Source organism: Homo sapiens, chromosome 20 (assembly GCF_000001405.40).
Source record: "Homo sapiens chromosome 20, GRCh38.p14 Primary Assembly".
In the NCBI taxonomy this organism is placed as follows: Eukaryota; Metazoa; Chordata; class Mammalia; order Primates; family Hominidae; genus Homo; species Homo sapiens.
This window is the reverse complement of record NC_000020.11, coordinates 7,831,193-7,845,962: the sequence shown is the minus strand read 5'-3', so window position 1 is coordinate 7,845,962 and position 14,770 is coordinate 7,831,193. Positions and strand designations below refer to the sequence as shown.

The 14,770-nt window shown below is 39.6% G+C and overlaps 1 pseudogene; it reads left to right on the top strand.

Moving 5' to 3' along the window:
* SRSF10P2 (serine and arginine rich splicing factor 10 pseudogene 2) lies at positions 13,569–14,562 on the top strand (annotated as a pseudogene).
* The last annotated feature ends 208 nt before the right edge of the window (positions 14,563–14,770 follow it).

Sequence of the window (14,770 nt, the reverse complement as noted above, 5' to 3'; positions counted from 1 at the left end):
TATTTGGAAAATCCTTTGGAATACACTATATATTTTAAAATATCATTTCTATTTAAGATCATGCATGAGTCATTATCAAAATGGACATGTGAATGACAGATGCACCTGAGAGCAATAACTTAAGCATATTCTTAGGAGTCCTTCTTAGGAGAAGGACCCTATGATCTAAGAAGAAAGTGTGTTCAGAGTCCTGGACTAATGAATCCAGCAATGGCCAACCTGGAGATCCACTCCTTATCTATGAAGGACATCTGAATCCCCAATCCATCCTTGGAATGCAGGCCATACAGGGGATAGAGGGCCTTTGTTTGGCTTAAATGGAGGTTGCCAGGTGGAATTTGCTAAGTGAAAATGCTATACGACCTGCATGCTTTTTACAAATGGTTGCAGTTCTCTTGTCCATCCTCTGCCACTGGACTGTCTCCGTATGTAAGTCCCCTTAATAAACTCTATGTCTCATTTTCTGACCTGGTCTTTTCTTCAGCCTCTCGTACATGGTGCCATCCCTATTGGAATCGATAGAGATCTGGTATGACAATGGAAAGCATTCCTCTATGCATGTTCAGTCTCTCACATCCACTGTAGGACAAATAGGACTTTGGCTCCCTTCAGTTCTGTCATCTGAGGAGGGTCAGTCCAGTCCTTCTGGCAGTTGTGATGGAGAACCAGAGCATGACCATAGAAGGATGGGATCTGAGATGTGAGAGGAGAGGGGAAAGGATTAGCAAAAAAAGCAGCCAACCAATTGTCATAATAAAGTGGTGAAGCAGTGAAGGGCCAGAAGTAAGTAGGAGTCAATTTCTGGAAGGTAGGAGGGTTAGAGGGAAATATTCTTTTGCTATTTTGAAGAAAGTATCTTGGAAAACTCTTCTATGTCTTCTGTGGATAAAAGTAAAGAGGAATTTTAAAGTATTATTGGAGATTGTCTGTTCTCTTCAAGAATTTCAAAAAATGCAAATAAAGAATTTATTTTGAGGAGTCTTATTTTTGTATAAACGATGTCCCTTTGACTGCATCACCTCTCTGAGGCTGAAATCAGAAAGGAACATAGAATAGTACATCATCCATGGGATATTATATCATATTATGAGACTTTAGAAAACATTTAGTTCTGCTTCAGGTGACATATCTCATTAGAGACAGAATTATTTTAAGAATTTAGATTTAGATTCTCACCTAACTCTTTCTTCTGTAAGTCACATTTCATCATTTTAGTCTTTCTTCAACTCTTTGAATGAATGAAGTTTTCCTGCAGTCACTTCTGTTTCCTACCAGTTTGTTATTAAGTTTCTTGCTTTCTGATTGATTGCTTCTGTTCCTTATATTTCTAAACCCAGACTGTCAGATAAGGTCTGCAATGCCCAAACACCAAGCCACAAAATCTTAGTTTGTTTGAATTCCTCTAAGATCAATCTATCTTCAAGGAGATTGGCATTCAAATGTTCAGAATGGACTTGTGGGGAAAGAGTGAAGAGCACATCTCATCTAAACAAATTTGAAAAAAAGAGATGGACTTTCTTGAGCCTGGTGCTTATGAATGTGTGTCCTCTTCTCCCCTATGAAAATTTCGTTTGAATATCATTTTAAAATAAGCGTAGAAACTATTTTCCAAGGCCCTTTCCACATACAGGTGGGTCAGTATTAACACATTATTTGTATTAATAATTCAGTGTTATCTCTCATAACTAATATGCTGCAAATATTGAACGGGGGAGCAGCTGTGTAGCTGCTCACATCTGAAATAAACAAAGAGCCAGTGTCTGTAAAAAGAAAGAGCTCAATTCATAACAAAACTGCATATATTTCTAATATAGGAACTATAGCTGCTTTGCAAAGTTCTCTCTAGAATAGTGGGAGACGTTATTTTACACATTCAGCATTCACCAGCTTTAACTTTCCAAACATAACCTGTTTCAAATATTTTAGGGATATTTTTTGTTCTGTTTTGTTTTTACTTTCCCTAAATTGGAAAGCCAAAGACTGCCTTCTGGGGGTCAAGCACTTGATTGACAGTAGAGCTCTGGTCTGAGCAATCAGAAGGTATCAGGCAATGGTGCAGACAGGAAGAAGCAGAGAATCATCAGGTAGAAAAAAGGCCAGAGGCCCTGGGCTTGAAGTCTTGCCCCATGTCAGAAGTGAGGTCTGAGTAGGCTGGGATCAGGGCCAGGGGAAGGCACATGATGGTGGGATGTTGCAAGGGAGTCAGAAGGAGTTGGGAAAGGAGCATACAGAGTGCTGGAATTGTCTTGGGTGAGACAGACTTTTTCTATTGGGGTCTGCATGCAAAAATCCTGCCAAGTCTCAGTCCTAAACTTAAGTAATCAGGTTGGTGGAAGGAAAAACTATGAAGGAGGTAAGGATTGCTGCCAACATTCTGCCATGACTTTTCAACACCCCTTAGCTCTTTTGGCAGATTCTCTCCATCCAGGTGTTCAGACCCCCACCCTCCCTTTTCCTGAACTACAGCTTCCAAGGTCACCCACATTGTAGTATCATTAGGTATGACAAGCTTCATATGCCAGACTTTTCTCTCCTAGTTTTTCTGCTTCCCCCAAATCTGATTCCTTCTTTGCTTGTGCCCTTGATCTTTGTTGAAGTTAATTTGACAACTGATGGGAGCTGGAGTATCAATGAGTGATAATGTCTCAGTGTTTCCTTCCTTTCTGATCACATCTGTACTCTTCATCATGCAGTAAAGCAGGACTTCTGGAACTGGGCAGGAGAGAGGCCTTTCCTTAATTCCTTCAGATTGTAGCTTATTACTTTGCCCATGAATGGGGGCCGAAAGGATAAAAAAATATACCTTTCCCTCATCCATCACAAAGGCCATGACTAACACTCCTATAACAAAAGACAGGTTAGCAAGAGAAACACATCACACATTTATTTAACAAAGTTTTACATGACATGGGAGCCTTCAGAAATGAAGACCTGAAGACCCAGGGAAAGCTGTGTGTTTTTATGCTAAGTCTAATGAAAGAAGTGGATAGTTGTGGAGAAACATGATTTGACAAAAAAGGTATGATCTAATGGTAATAAACTGGGGGAAAGAGGAGACCCTAGCAAGACCTGTTTGTTCAGATTCTTCCTGATCTCTCTGTGTAGCATTATTTCCCCCTGGATATGGGGCAGGACCCTCTGGAATGAGGGTCTTATGGCCTACTTTCAAGGGAGGTAAGTCAGAATGTGGCCTTTCTAAGTTTTATGGTTTGCTTTGGGGTAGAGGAGTTCTAATTTCTATGACCCACCTTTGGGAGAGGAATCTGGTTTCTATGACATGTCTTAGAAGACAGAAGAAAGAGGGAAAAGGTTGGAGATACCTTGTTGCAGAGGCCTTTCCTATCTCCTCCATTTCAAAGTACTCAGCATGCCAAGATGTCATACTTGGTAGTATTCTGCTCTAAGTCCCTACAGGGCAAGCTTTCAGAGTATGAACTTAGCTGTTAGAGTGGCTGTGGTTTAGGAGAAGTAGAGGGAAGGATGGAGTTTGCTAGAGGGGAAAATCATTCAGAAACTGGATGGAGAATAAAGACCTGTAGAGCTGGGGTGGGAGCTAGGTTGAGAGTGTACATAGACAAGCTTTGAGGGATAAACACAAAATATTGTAAGGACATCATGAGTGGCTGAGGAAATTCCATAAGCCATTTTTTTTAAAACCATGGCTTGAGCTATTGGATTTCTATAGGATGGTTTTTCTCTTCTACTCTGTGAGTATAGCCCAGCCTTCCATTCTTCTAATGCTCATTGGTTCTGTTACAGAGTCTGGGGATGGAAAAGGTTGCTTAGGTGTCAGCCAAGACACTCCCTCTGCTTGGGGGAGAGCAAGCTGCCAGCCCGACTATCCGCTTCCTGCCAGCTTAAGGAGCTTATGACTCAGATTCAAGCAAAACACTGAGCTGAAGCAAAAAGGGAGGGAGGGAACCTTAGCTCAGATGAAGGCTCTAGGGCCAAACTGCATCACTGAAACATCCAAGTCAGGGAAACCCATCAGACCAGGAGGCTATGTGATTTTGTGTTTGTCCTCTGCTTCGAAAACCACAAACATATGCTTACACACAACTCCATTTCTCTCCTACTCATACAGACATATTTCCCCCTGAGCTGAAATCCTGAGGCTGTTGCACCCTCCTGCAGGAAAAGCTACTCTTGGGAGCTGGTCTGAGTATTAGCCATCTCTCAGATTCTGTGATAGCAGAGAAGTCTTCACCAGATGTTATGATTCAGCTGGTGTGTCCAGTTGTCCCTCCTTGCCTTGTGTTGCCCGAGTTTCCATTTCTCACAGAAGGAGGTGTTGAGGGAAGACTACAGACTTATTCAGGAATAACACTGAAATCCAGACACATGTGTTTCAAAATCCTCTGTGATTCCAGTAGCTTCCTGGATATTGCTCTGGTGGCTGAGCTGCTGCCAATGTTGACTTGCTGGTCATTTGAAAGCCAAACTCTACCCCTGAGGAAAGGTACTGGATGAATTATAGAAATCTCTATTCTTTCTTTTCTTTCCTCCTTCCATTACTCATGTACATACCCACATCCCTCCAGCTCCTTCCAGTTGTCTCCTTGTGAGTAAACATTAGTCATTTTCTACAAGTTCCTTACCTCCATTCACTAAAGAGGAATGTGTAATCTCTTTGATTGAAGTTGAAAGTACTGACCTATGTACTTTTGTGTTAAGTATAGTTTATAGTTAATACTACACACATACTCCTTCATGTATGATTGTATTTAATATACATAATCTTCCTAAAATTCAACTTTGGTCTATGTCTTTATTTTTTGAGAAATCCTAAAAACTCTCAGTCAACTGCCTGGGGCCAGATTCCTTAATGCCATTTGGAAATCTTTATGATCTGGACATGACTTAAGCTTCTAGTCTCACCTCACTTAGCATCACTCCTTAAACTGCCTGAGGCTGGTCTCCTTAATCCCCCAACCCAATTTAATTGCCCCTCTCTTTGAAATGCCTTCTTCTAACATCTGTCTAATCCCAAATATTTTTAAAACCCAAGCCCACGTCAGTTCATTATCTTTGTTGAGGCAAATTGAAGGAGAGGGAAGAGGATAAGAATAAGAAGAAATAAGAGAGAACAGAGATAAAGAATAAATAAATGTGTTGAAGCTTAAGGGGAAAGAAGCCCGGTTATGATGTGTGGTTTCCTTGGGAAAGTCTGGCATTATTATACGAAGTTCATTATAGACAGCCCCTTCTTCCTGCCAACACTTCAAGAAGCTCAGAATACAGATTTATCAGTGCACCAAGAGCTGCTAATCCCAGTCAGAAAAATCTATTATTTTTATTCGAGGGAAATCATATTTTCCATGCTTAACAGTGACAGATATGTGGGATGTCAAATTAGAATCAGATGGTAGTTTAGTGGGCATGGATACCATGAAAGTGGAATTAGTTGGAAGAACTAAATTCCAGTTACAATTTAGCCTGATAGTTATATCTCTTTCATCCTTGAGGACTCTTCAATAGGGGTACCAGTGGATCTAAATTGTGCTAGACAGGTTCTCAAGGTTATATCTCTATGCTTCCAAGGCTGATCAATGCTGTTTCTATCAAATGCATTTCTTTCTCAAGTATGCTAACACTGTCCCTCTGGGAACTATCCAGGCTTAGATGGAGAGTCTCCTGCCTCTTTAAGGTATGTATCTCTACTCTAATCCATTACCTGGGAGCTTCACTGTTTAATAATATTACCAGTTATGCCCCATAGTTGGTTCCAGTGAGGCTCTAATACTAATTAGTTTTATATAGTACTTTGTCTCTAGTAGTTTCTCAGTAAATATCTGTTGACTAATAATTTGTTTACCACATTTGTAGGCTATTGTATATTCCCTTGTCTAGAAAAGGCCAGGAGTATAATTAATAATTCAGAGTTACTGGCTGAAATTTTCCAAAAAGCTTCAGATCAAGAATGAGATCATTGGAGAAGGGGAAATGGGTAAGGCACACAATATAATTTTGCTTTAAAATACAATTAAATGGCCGGGCGCGGTAGCTCATGCCTGTAATCCCAGCACTTTGGGAGGCCGAGGCGGGCGGATCACGAGGTCAGGAGATCAAGACCATCCTGGCTAACATGGTGAAACCCCGTCCCTACTAAACAAAATACAAAGAATTAGCTGGGAGTGGTGGCGGGTGCCTGTAGTCCCAGCTACTTGGGAGGCTGAGGCAGGAGAATGGCATGAACCCGGGAGGCAGAGCTTGCAGTGAGCCGAGATGGTGCCACTGCACTGCAGCCTGGGCGACAGAGCGAGACTCCGTCTCAAAAAAAAAAAAAAAAAAAATACAATTGAACAATTTATATTTTTCTTGATGTAAAGGACTTCAGATATATTGAAACTAACCATTTCTTATTTCATAAATACATTAACTAAGGCTCATTTATGTTGATTGTGTTGCTCAAATTCAAAAGAATGGTCAGTGACAAAGTGGGACAAGATTCCACATCTTCTAACTTCTAGGCAAACGGGAAGAATCCCATTAAGCCATTTTTCAATTCTGGAGTCTGAGAATGTCGTTACTTGTTCTTTGTATTTCTTCATGGCCTTCCAGGGGCCAATAGAACAATAGTCACCAGATTTAGGAAATTTCACTATTGTTACCAAATATTTATGTCCAAAGTTCTTTATGTTCATTATTATAGTTTGTAATGAAATAAACATTGCTATAGTTACTATGGAGTTAGACTAAAATTTCAACATATGCTGCTTGAAGGGATTGATCCAGCCACTTCAGATGTAATTTCCAAGGTAAAGATTGTGGTAAGGGTGACTCTTATGAAAGAGTCAGCTTTTGTGAACATTGGGCGTCCAATTTGCAATGTCATCTCATACATTTATTTATTCTGGGATGGGTGAGGTTTGGAAATATTGTAGGATTAGACTGCCTGATACCATGGAGGCAAAAGAAACAGTCATTTTTTTTTTTTCTCCAGGGTGATACATTGGGTACCGAACTACTTTTATAGCAATTTGGGAGTAAATTTTTCTCTATGTGCTCAAATGTAAATCAATTACAGAAACTTTAATTGGAAATATTTTGGAGTAACTTTAACCTAACAGTTCTAAGAATGATATAATTTGTTAAATACTGAGTCATATTTGTTTGGTGACTTTTTATAGTTAAAATAATTTTGGAATAAAAGTGGATTTTTGAAAAGCTTAACCTGATTGTAGTAAGTAGCCAAGATTACAAAGACACATTTTGTGTCTTTTCAGTTGTTTTCAATGTTTTGTTCTGCTCTTTCTTTCAGTAGACTTTTTTTTATAATTATAAAAGACAAAAGAAAGGTGTCAATTTTATTCACTGTCTTGTAATTAACTCAATAATTTACTATTCAAAATATTTCAGTAATTTCTTGAACTGGTATTAATGTACAAGGAAGGTCCAGAAGATATTTTAGTTGGTTTTATCGTTGAAGATAATCCACTGGAATGGCCCAGGATCATAATGACAAAGAATGCTTCAAAGAAATAGTAGAACAATGAACATAATTTCTATCTCTTATAGCTAATTAGACTACATATAGATTCCTCGCCCCAAAGCTAGGAGGTACTATGTTTCTAATGAGCATATTTTTTTTCCTGTGTCCTAAAGACCTGAATAATAGATTGGCTACTAAAATAAAATAAAGCAATACAGCCAGTAAACTACCGACTATCATGTAACCATAATACTCCCAGGCATGAATCATTTTGTAAGTATTATGTTCTATATGTTTTGTGATAGCAATTCTAGAAGAACACATATTTGTGAAATATTTAGTCTGGTTGGTAAAGAAGATTTAATTCCTTTTTGTGGGATCTTGGATTTGTTTCCTATCAGTCTTTCTTTCACAAACTCATCTGTACTCTTATAACACAAAGAAGTTCAGAAGACGTTTTGCCATAATAAAAAAAGAGGAAAAGTATAAGAATAATAGAATTCTCTAAATATTATAGATTTTGTGAATAAAAAAGTGGGAGGAGAGGTGAGATAAAACCATTTTAATTCTGTGGACAAGCATGAGATCAAAGGGAAGAAATGAAAAGTGCTTTGTAGTTATTATTCTTATTTATCTATAGTATCTAGATCCTTGATACTCAGAGTGTGGTCTGTGAACTGGCAACGTGATGTCTCCCAGAGCTTGTTAAAAATGCAGAATTCGGTTCCCACTCATGACTCAGAATTTGCATTTTAACAAGATCCCAGGTAATTCATATGCAAGCTAAAATTGTGAGAATTGCTGATATCTAGATCTTTTTTTTCCGAAAATACCTATGAAGATAGACATATGGAGTGTCTCTGTTTGATGATGTGGTGTAATAAAGTGAGACACCTCTCTTCTGTTTATAAGAGCACAGATTATGAAGGTCTGAAACCACATAGATAGAACTGCTAGCACTAGTCCAGATGGCTAAAATAGAAGTCTTTTTCTACTACTGTTGTTTCTCTTGCAAAATAAGCCAGATCTTGAAAGGATCAGATGTGCCTTAACATCATCATGCTGAGGTGATTTATTTATTATTTCACAAGGAGCAGGGTTAAGGTCTTGTTAACAGGAGGAACTTGTTTTCTTATGTTAGATAGAACTGTGTTGTTTCAGGTAAATATTAATTTTCCTTTTGATAAGGTGTGGTTATTTCTTAGGTAAATAGTGAGAAAATTATTTGCAGCATCCTACAGTCAAGGCCTGAAGTGGATTCAAACATTCTATTTTCTTCTCTGGTCTTAAAACTAGAACCAGTTTTTGCCCCTTGGGATTCTGTAAAGATGAGCTGCATCTTGGGTTAATGGAGGTAACTAGATGCTGAAAATGACCAAGATATTCTCCAACTTTTGTGGGAAGTGAAGAGTTTTCTCAGGGATTGTGTTGAAAAACAAGAGCCAGAATTTGGAAACTAAGGGCTGTGAAGTATGATGAAACACTTAAAGAAGGAGAGGAGTCACAGAAAAGAACATTCAGAAGGGTCTTCCTCTAATTGGTGGTTCTCAATTGTCACCGAACATTGGAATCACCTGGGGGTCTTTTTCAGATTTCTAATTCTTGGATTGCATGCAGACAAATTATATTACAATCTCTGGTGAGACCTAGGTATCAGTAATTTTTTAAAAAAGACCTCCAAGACATTCCATTTTGCAGCTAAGGTCAAAACAATTAAAGATCTGATTTTGTAAAGTTTCCTGTCCTTATGTGGTAAATGTGTTTCATGTGGGGAAGGCTGGTGAGCAGGAAGTGTTCCAGTATCTTGATCATTTGAGGAAAGCTCAAAGGGTGAATGAAACATGGAGCTTCCTTTGGGGAATCACTAGACAAATCTATGTTCAGGCACGAGACAGTGTGACTAAATTCCTTGGTAATGTCTTTCACTCTTTGTGCTTAACCCCTATACTCTAGCAAGAAACACTGTGGGCTGAGTGTAGGGTAGTAGTTGGCCTCCAAGATGGCCTCCACTGACAATTGTGCCCTGATACTCATGTCCTTGTGTGCTTCTCACCACACTGAATCACTTGGGGCTGACCTGTGTGACCAATAGAATATGGTAGAAGTGATGGTATGAGACATCCAAAGCTAGGTCATAGAAGGTATATCAGCTTTTGCTTTAGTATTTGGGATTACTAGCTCTTCCAGAAGCTAGTCATGTTGTGAAAACACTCAAGAAGTCCCTTGGAGAGGAGCCAATTTGCCATTTGTGTGAGCCACCTTAGAAATGGATCATCCAGCACCACTGAGTCTTCAGATGGCTAAGCCCCAGCTGGCATCTGACTGCAACCTCATGAGAGATTCTGAGCCACAACTGCTCAGTTTAGCTGCTCCTGAACTCTTGGCCTATAGAGATCATAGGAGATAATTAATGACTATTGCCTTTTCATACTATTAAATTTTGGAATGATTCCTTACACAGCAATAAATAATGCTGCAGGGCTAATTCAAACCCTGGTTACCCAGTAAAGCAGCCTGTTTGTGAGTATATTTGTAGATAACTTCTAGAGTGTGGCAACAGAGTGGAATATTTTAGCAACAATTGCATTTAATTCTATCTTAAATTACATCAGCTACCTTGTAAGCCAAATATTAAATGTTATGACAAAACTACACTGTTATTAAAATCTTAGCTTTAAATTAGGTTTTAACAAGTAACTGGACAGCATTTGATATACGATTCAGCACTATCCAATAGAACTCGCTGAATTATAAAACCGTTCTCCCAGTTATGGTAGCTGCTAGCTATAGTTGGCAATTGAGCACTGGAAATCTGGCTAGTGCAATTGCTAAACTGAAATTTTAATTTTATTTAATTTGAAATTATGGCTACCATATTGATAGGATAATTCTATACATTTTTGGGGAAGGTTATAGACATGACAAAAATATTCTGCTCTAGGTTGTAAAGTTATGAACTGAGAAGTGGAAAACTCAGTAAGGGGAACAGTTTATCTCTGGAATAATGAATTAAAAGTCTTCCTATTTTACCACCAAATATGTGTCATTTGGAGTGATAGATGACAAACAACAAAGAAACAGATCACATAGTATTGTGTATATCCAAGATGTAACTGAATTCAGGCTCTGTAACAAAAACTTTTGTACTAGAATTTGAGAGGAACTTTAAGATATTGTCAAAGCACAATTATCTCTGTGGTAGGTACTTGATGAGGTGTTTTCAAAAACATTTTTTTTCCTGCCAGCTGCCATCTTATTTCTTTTGCTCATCTTATAAAAAGTGACTAGATACTACTATAAGATATGCTCAGGAAGAATTCTACATAATCTACCACCAACATAATCTGCTTATAATTTCTAATATTTTAGTGTTGTCACTTACTTATGATGGTGTGATAATGATAATGAAAACAATGATAACTATTAAAATCAATTATTATGTTTGAATCAAGTGAATTTATTAGGTTTACTTAATCACTAATATTTATATTTTTTGTATTTAATCAGCACAAACGCTCAAAATTAGGGTATAGAAAAAAGGTAATAGAAATTCCTGGCACCTTTTTTTGTTCTCTACCTTGTTCAAGAGATGTAGAACATCTAAGAAAAACTGGAGATAAACTAAATATTGCAACCTAAATTTTACTTAAAATGGATGTGAAGTAGTGCTAGTTTGAGAGATGAAGCCAGCTGGACTTCCTGGGTCGAGTGGGGACTTGGAGAACTTTTCTGTCTAGCTAAAGGATTGTAAACGCACCAATCAGTGTTCTGTGTCTAGCTAAAGGATTGTAAATGCACCAATCGGCACTCTGTAAAAATGCACCAATCAGCGCTCTGTGTCTAGCTAAAGGTTTGTAAACTCACCAATCAGCAATCTGTAAAAATGGGCCAATCAGCACTCTTTAAAATGGACCAATCAGCACTCTGTAAAATGGACCAATCAGCAGGATGTGGGCGGGGCCAAATAAGGGAATAAAAGCTGGCCACCCGAGCCATCAGCAGCAAACAGCTCAGGTCCCCTTCCATGCTGTGGAAGCTTTGTTCTTTCGCTCTTCACAATAAATCTTGCTGCTGCTCACTCTTTGGGTCCGCACTAACTTTATGAGGTGTAACATTCACTGCAAAAGTCTGAGGCTTCACTCCTGATGTCAGTGAGACCATGAACCCACTGGGAGGAACAAACTACTCTGGATGCGCCACCTTTAAGAGCTGTAGCATTCACTGCAAATATCTGTGGCTTCACTCCTGAAATCCAAGCAAGACCACAAACCCACCAGAAGGAAGCAACTCTGGACACATCTGAATATCTGAAGGAACAAACTCTGGACACACCATCTTTAAGAACTGTAATGCTCACCGTGAGGGTCTGCAGCTTCATTCTTGAAGTCAGTGAGACCAATAACCCACTGGTAGGAACCAATTCTGGACACATTTTGGCGACCATGAAGGGACTATCAACTATCGCCAAGCAGTGAGCACCATCAGACCCCTTTCACTTGCTATTCTGTCCTATTTTTCCTTAGAATTTGGGGGCTAAATACCTGGCACCTGTCAGCCAGTTAAAAGTGACCAGCGCAGCCGCCGGACTAAATACACAGGAGTCAGGTTTTCTGGGAAAGGGCTCTCTAACGACCCCCTACTCTTCGGAGTTGGGAGCGTTGGTTTGCCTGGAACCAGCTTCTGCTTTTCCTGTACTTCTGGGCTGAGCTGAAGTTCGACAGAGAGGAAAGCCATTCAGCTCCAGAGTCCCAACAACAAGTTGGTTGACCCTGTGGCCCTGAGCAGAACTCTCAAAGTCATGTCGCCCAAGCGAGACTCTCCCATCTATCCTATCTATCCTGACCCTTGCCTCCTGGGTCCTGATGCCTGCCAGACAAACTTCCTCTCGCCTCTCTTCTCCGAGGCTAGTCCCGCTTCTAAAAACCACTCCCTGTCTCTGGTGCTTTTCTAGTTTCTCTTGCAAGAATGACTTCTAGTATAAACTTCAGGACTCTATCCCTTTCTTTAGGCACCCAGGCTCACCAATCAGAAAGACATAATTTTTGCCCAAAGCCCAATTGTAGGGGGGACTACCTGGAATTTTAGGAACCCTCCTCAGACAAGCAGGCCTGACAAAAGCTATTCCGGAACGTAGGATATGGGGAGCCTCAGACAATGTATCCTTCCTATTCATATAAGTGAGGACAAAAGGCATCACTCTTCCAACTCTGGAGTTCCCTTCCCTCCCTCAGGGAATGGCCCTCCACTTCGTTTTTGGGGCATAACATCTTTATAGGACAGGGGTAAAGTCCCAATACACCAATCAGTGCTCTGTGTCTAGCTAAAGGTTTGTAAATGCACCAATCAGCACTATGTAAAAAAGCACCAATCAGCACTCTGTAAAATGGACCAATCAGCAGGATGTTGGCAGGGCCAAATAAGGAAATAAAAGCTGGCCACCTGAGCTAGCAGCAGCAACCTGCGCAGGTCCCCTTCCATGCTGTGGAAGCTTTGTCTTTCGCTCTTCAAAATAAATCTTGCTGCTGCTCACTCTTTGGGTCCTCACTACCTTTAAGAGCTATAACACTCACCATGAAGGTCTATGGCTTCACTCCTGAAGTCAAGTGAGACCACAAACCCACCGGAAGGAAGAAACTCCAGACACATCTGAACATCTGAAGGAACAAACTCCGGACACACCATCTTTAAGAACTGTAACACTCACTGCGAGGGTCCACGGCTTCATTCTTGAAGTCAGTGAGACCAAGAACCCACCAGAAGGAACCAATTCCAGTCACAAGTTTATGATCCTCTAATGTTATTTTAATAGGAAAAATGGTAAAAATGTATTGTTACTGTAATTAGTAGTAAGTGGCATGTTCTTTGATAAAGTAAGGATATTTGCTGCCATTAGGCATCTATAAGTAATATCTTTTACTTGATCTGCTTTCTTGTTTTGTACATTTGCTTATACCAATTGCCAATATTTTTTGCTTATTACAAAATAATTTGCTTTTATTTTAGAAAAAGAAAATCAGACATATAGATAATTAAAAGTAGAAAAAAAACGGGCTTTGCACGGAGGTAGGAGCCAGGAGTGAAGTCTCATGAGAAGAGGTGGATTGCCATGGCAGAGCCCTCTGGGCTGTGTGTGTCTGACGCTTGGCCGCCAGAGCCACAGTTGGTTTGCTGAGCCCATTAGTGTGCCCGACCGAGACACGATGCCTCCATGTCTTGCTACTTGTGTCCCCCTAACACGTCTCTCCTCATCAGGAATGTGGCCGATGACACCAGGTCTGAAGATTTACAGTGTGAATTTGGTCGTTATGGTCCTATAGTTGATGTGTATGTTCCACTTGATTTCTGCACTCACCGTCCAAGATTTGCTTATGGTCAACTTGAGGATGTTTGTGATGCTGAAGATGCTTTACATAATTTGGACAGAAAGTGGATTTGTGGACGGCAGATTGAAATACAGTTTGTCCAGGGCATTGGAAGACACCAAATCAAATGAAAGCCAAGGAAGGGAGGAATGTGTACAGTTCTTCACACTATGATGATTATGACAGATACGGACATTCTAGAAGCTGAAGTTATGAAAGAAAATCAAGAAGTCAGTCTTTTGATAACAGTTTAAAAGATTGTATCTAGAAATAGACTGACTGGAAGACCACGGCATAGCAGAAGCCATTCTGACAATGACAGGCCAAACTGCAGCTGGAATACCCAGTACAGTTCTGCTTACTACACTTAAACAAATATCTGAAAGTGGAAAAAGAACCAAAGAAAGGCAGTTCAAGTGACCAAAGGGTGGGTGGAAGGTGCTGCAGTATGATGACTGCACAACTATTTTGACTCTGGTCAGAAAAGATACAAAAATATTATCGAAAACTACATGGAATAATTGAAGTCCTTTCAAATTTGAAAGTAAGCATTTTAGGACAAGTAAAAGGAAATTCAACTTTGTACTTGTGGAAACTAATTCCTCAATAGAAATAGGTTTATACTGATTCATGGCTAATGGGTCCATAATAAATTATTGGAAACTAGGATGTCTGAATATCAAGGAAGATAGCCATAGTGTCTGACAGTGCCTCTGTTGGTCTGTCTTAAACTGAATTGAGTGGGAAAAAGTATGGTCCAATATAAAAGTTCAATTTTTGCCATTATTGGCAAATCTTGCGTTTGTTTATTTTGGTGCCAGTGTTTTCTGCTTAATCATTTGCTGTGGTGGCATCTGCGTTTATTTGCTTGTACACCACATGCAATTTACATCTTCCTAACTACTCTCCTTCCCAGGTAAATTCCAATTATATTTAATATCCAGCTAAGAGGGCCCATCTCTTCTCACCTCTTTCC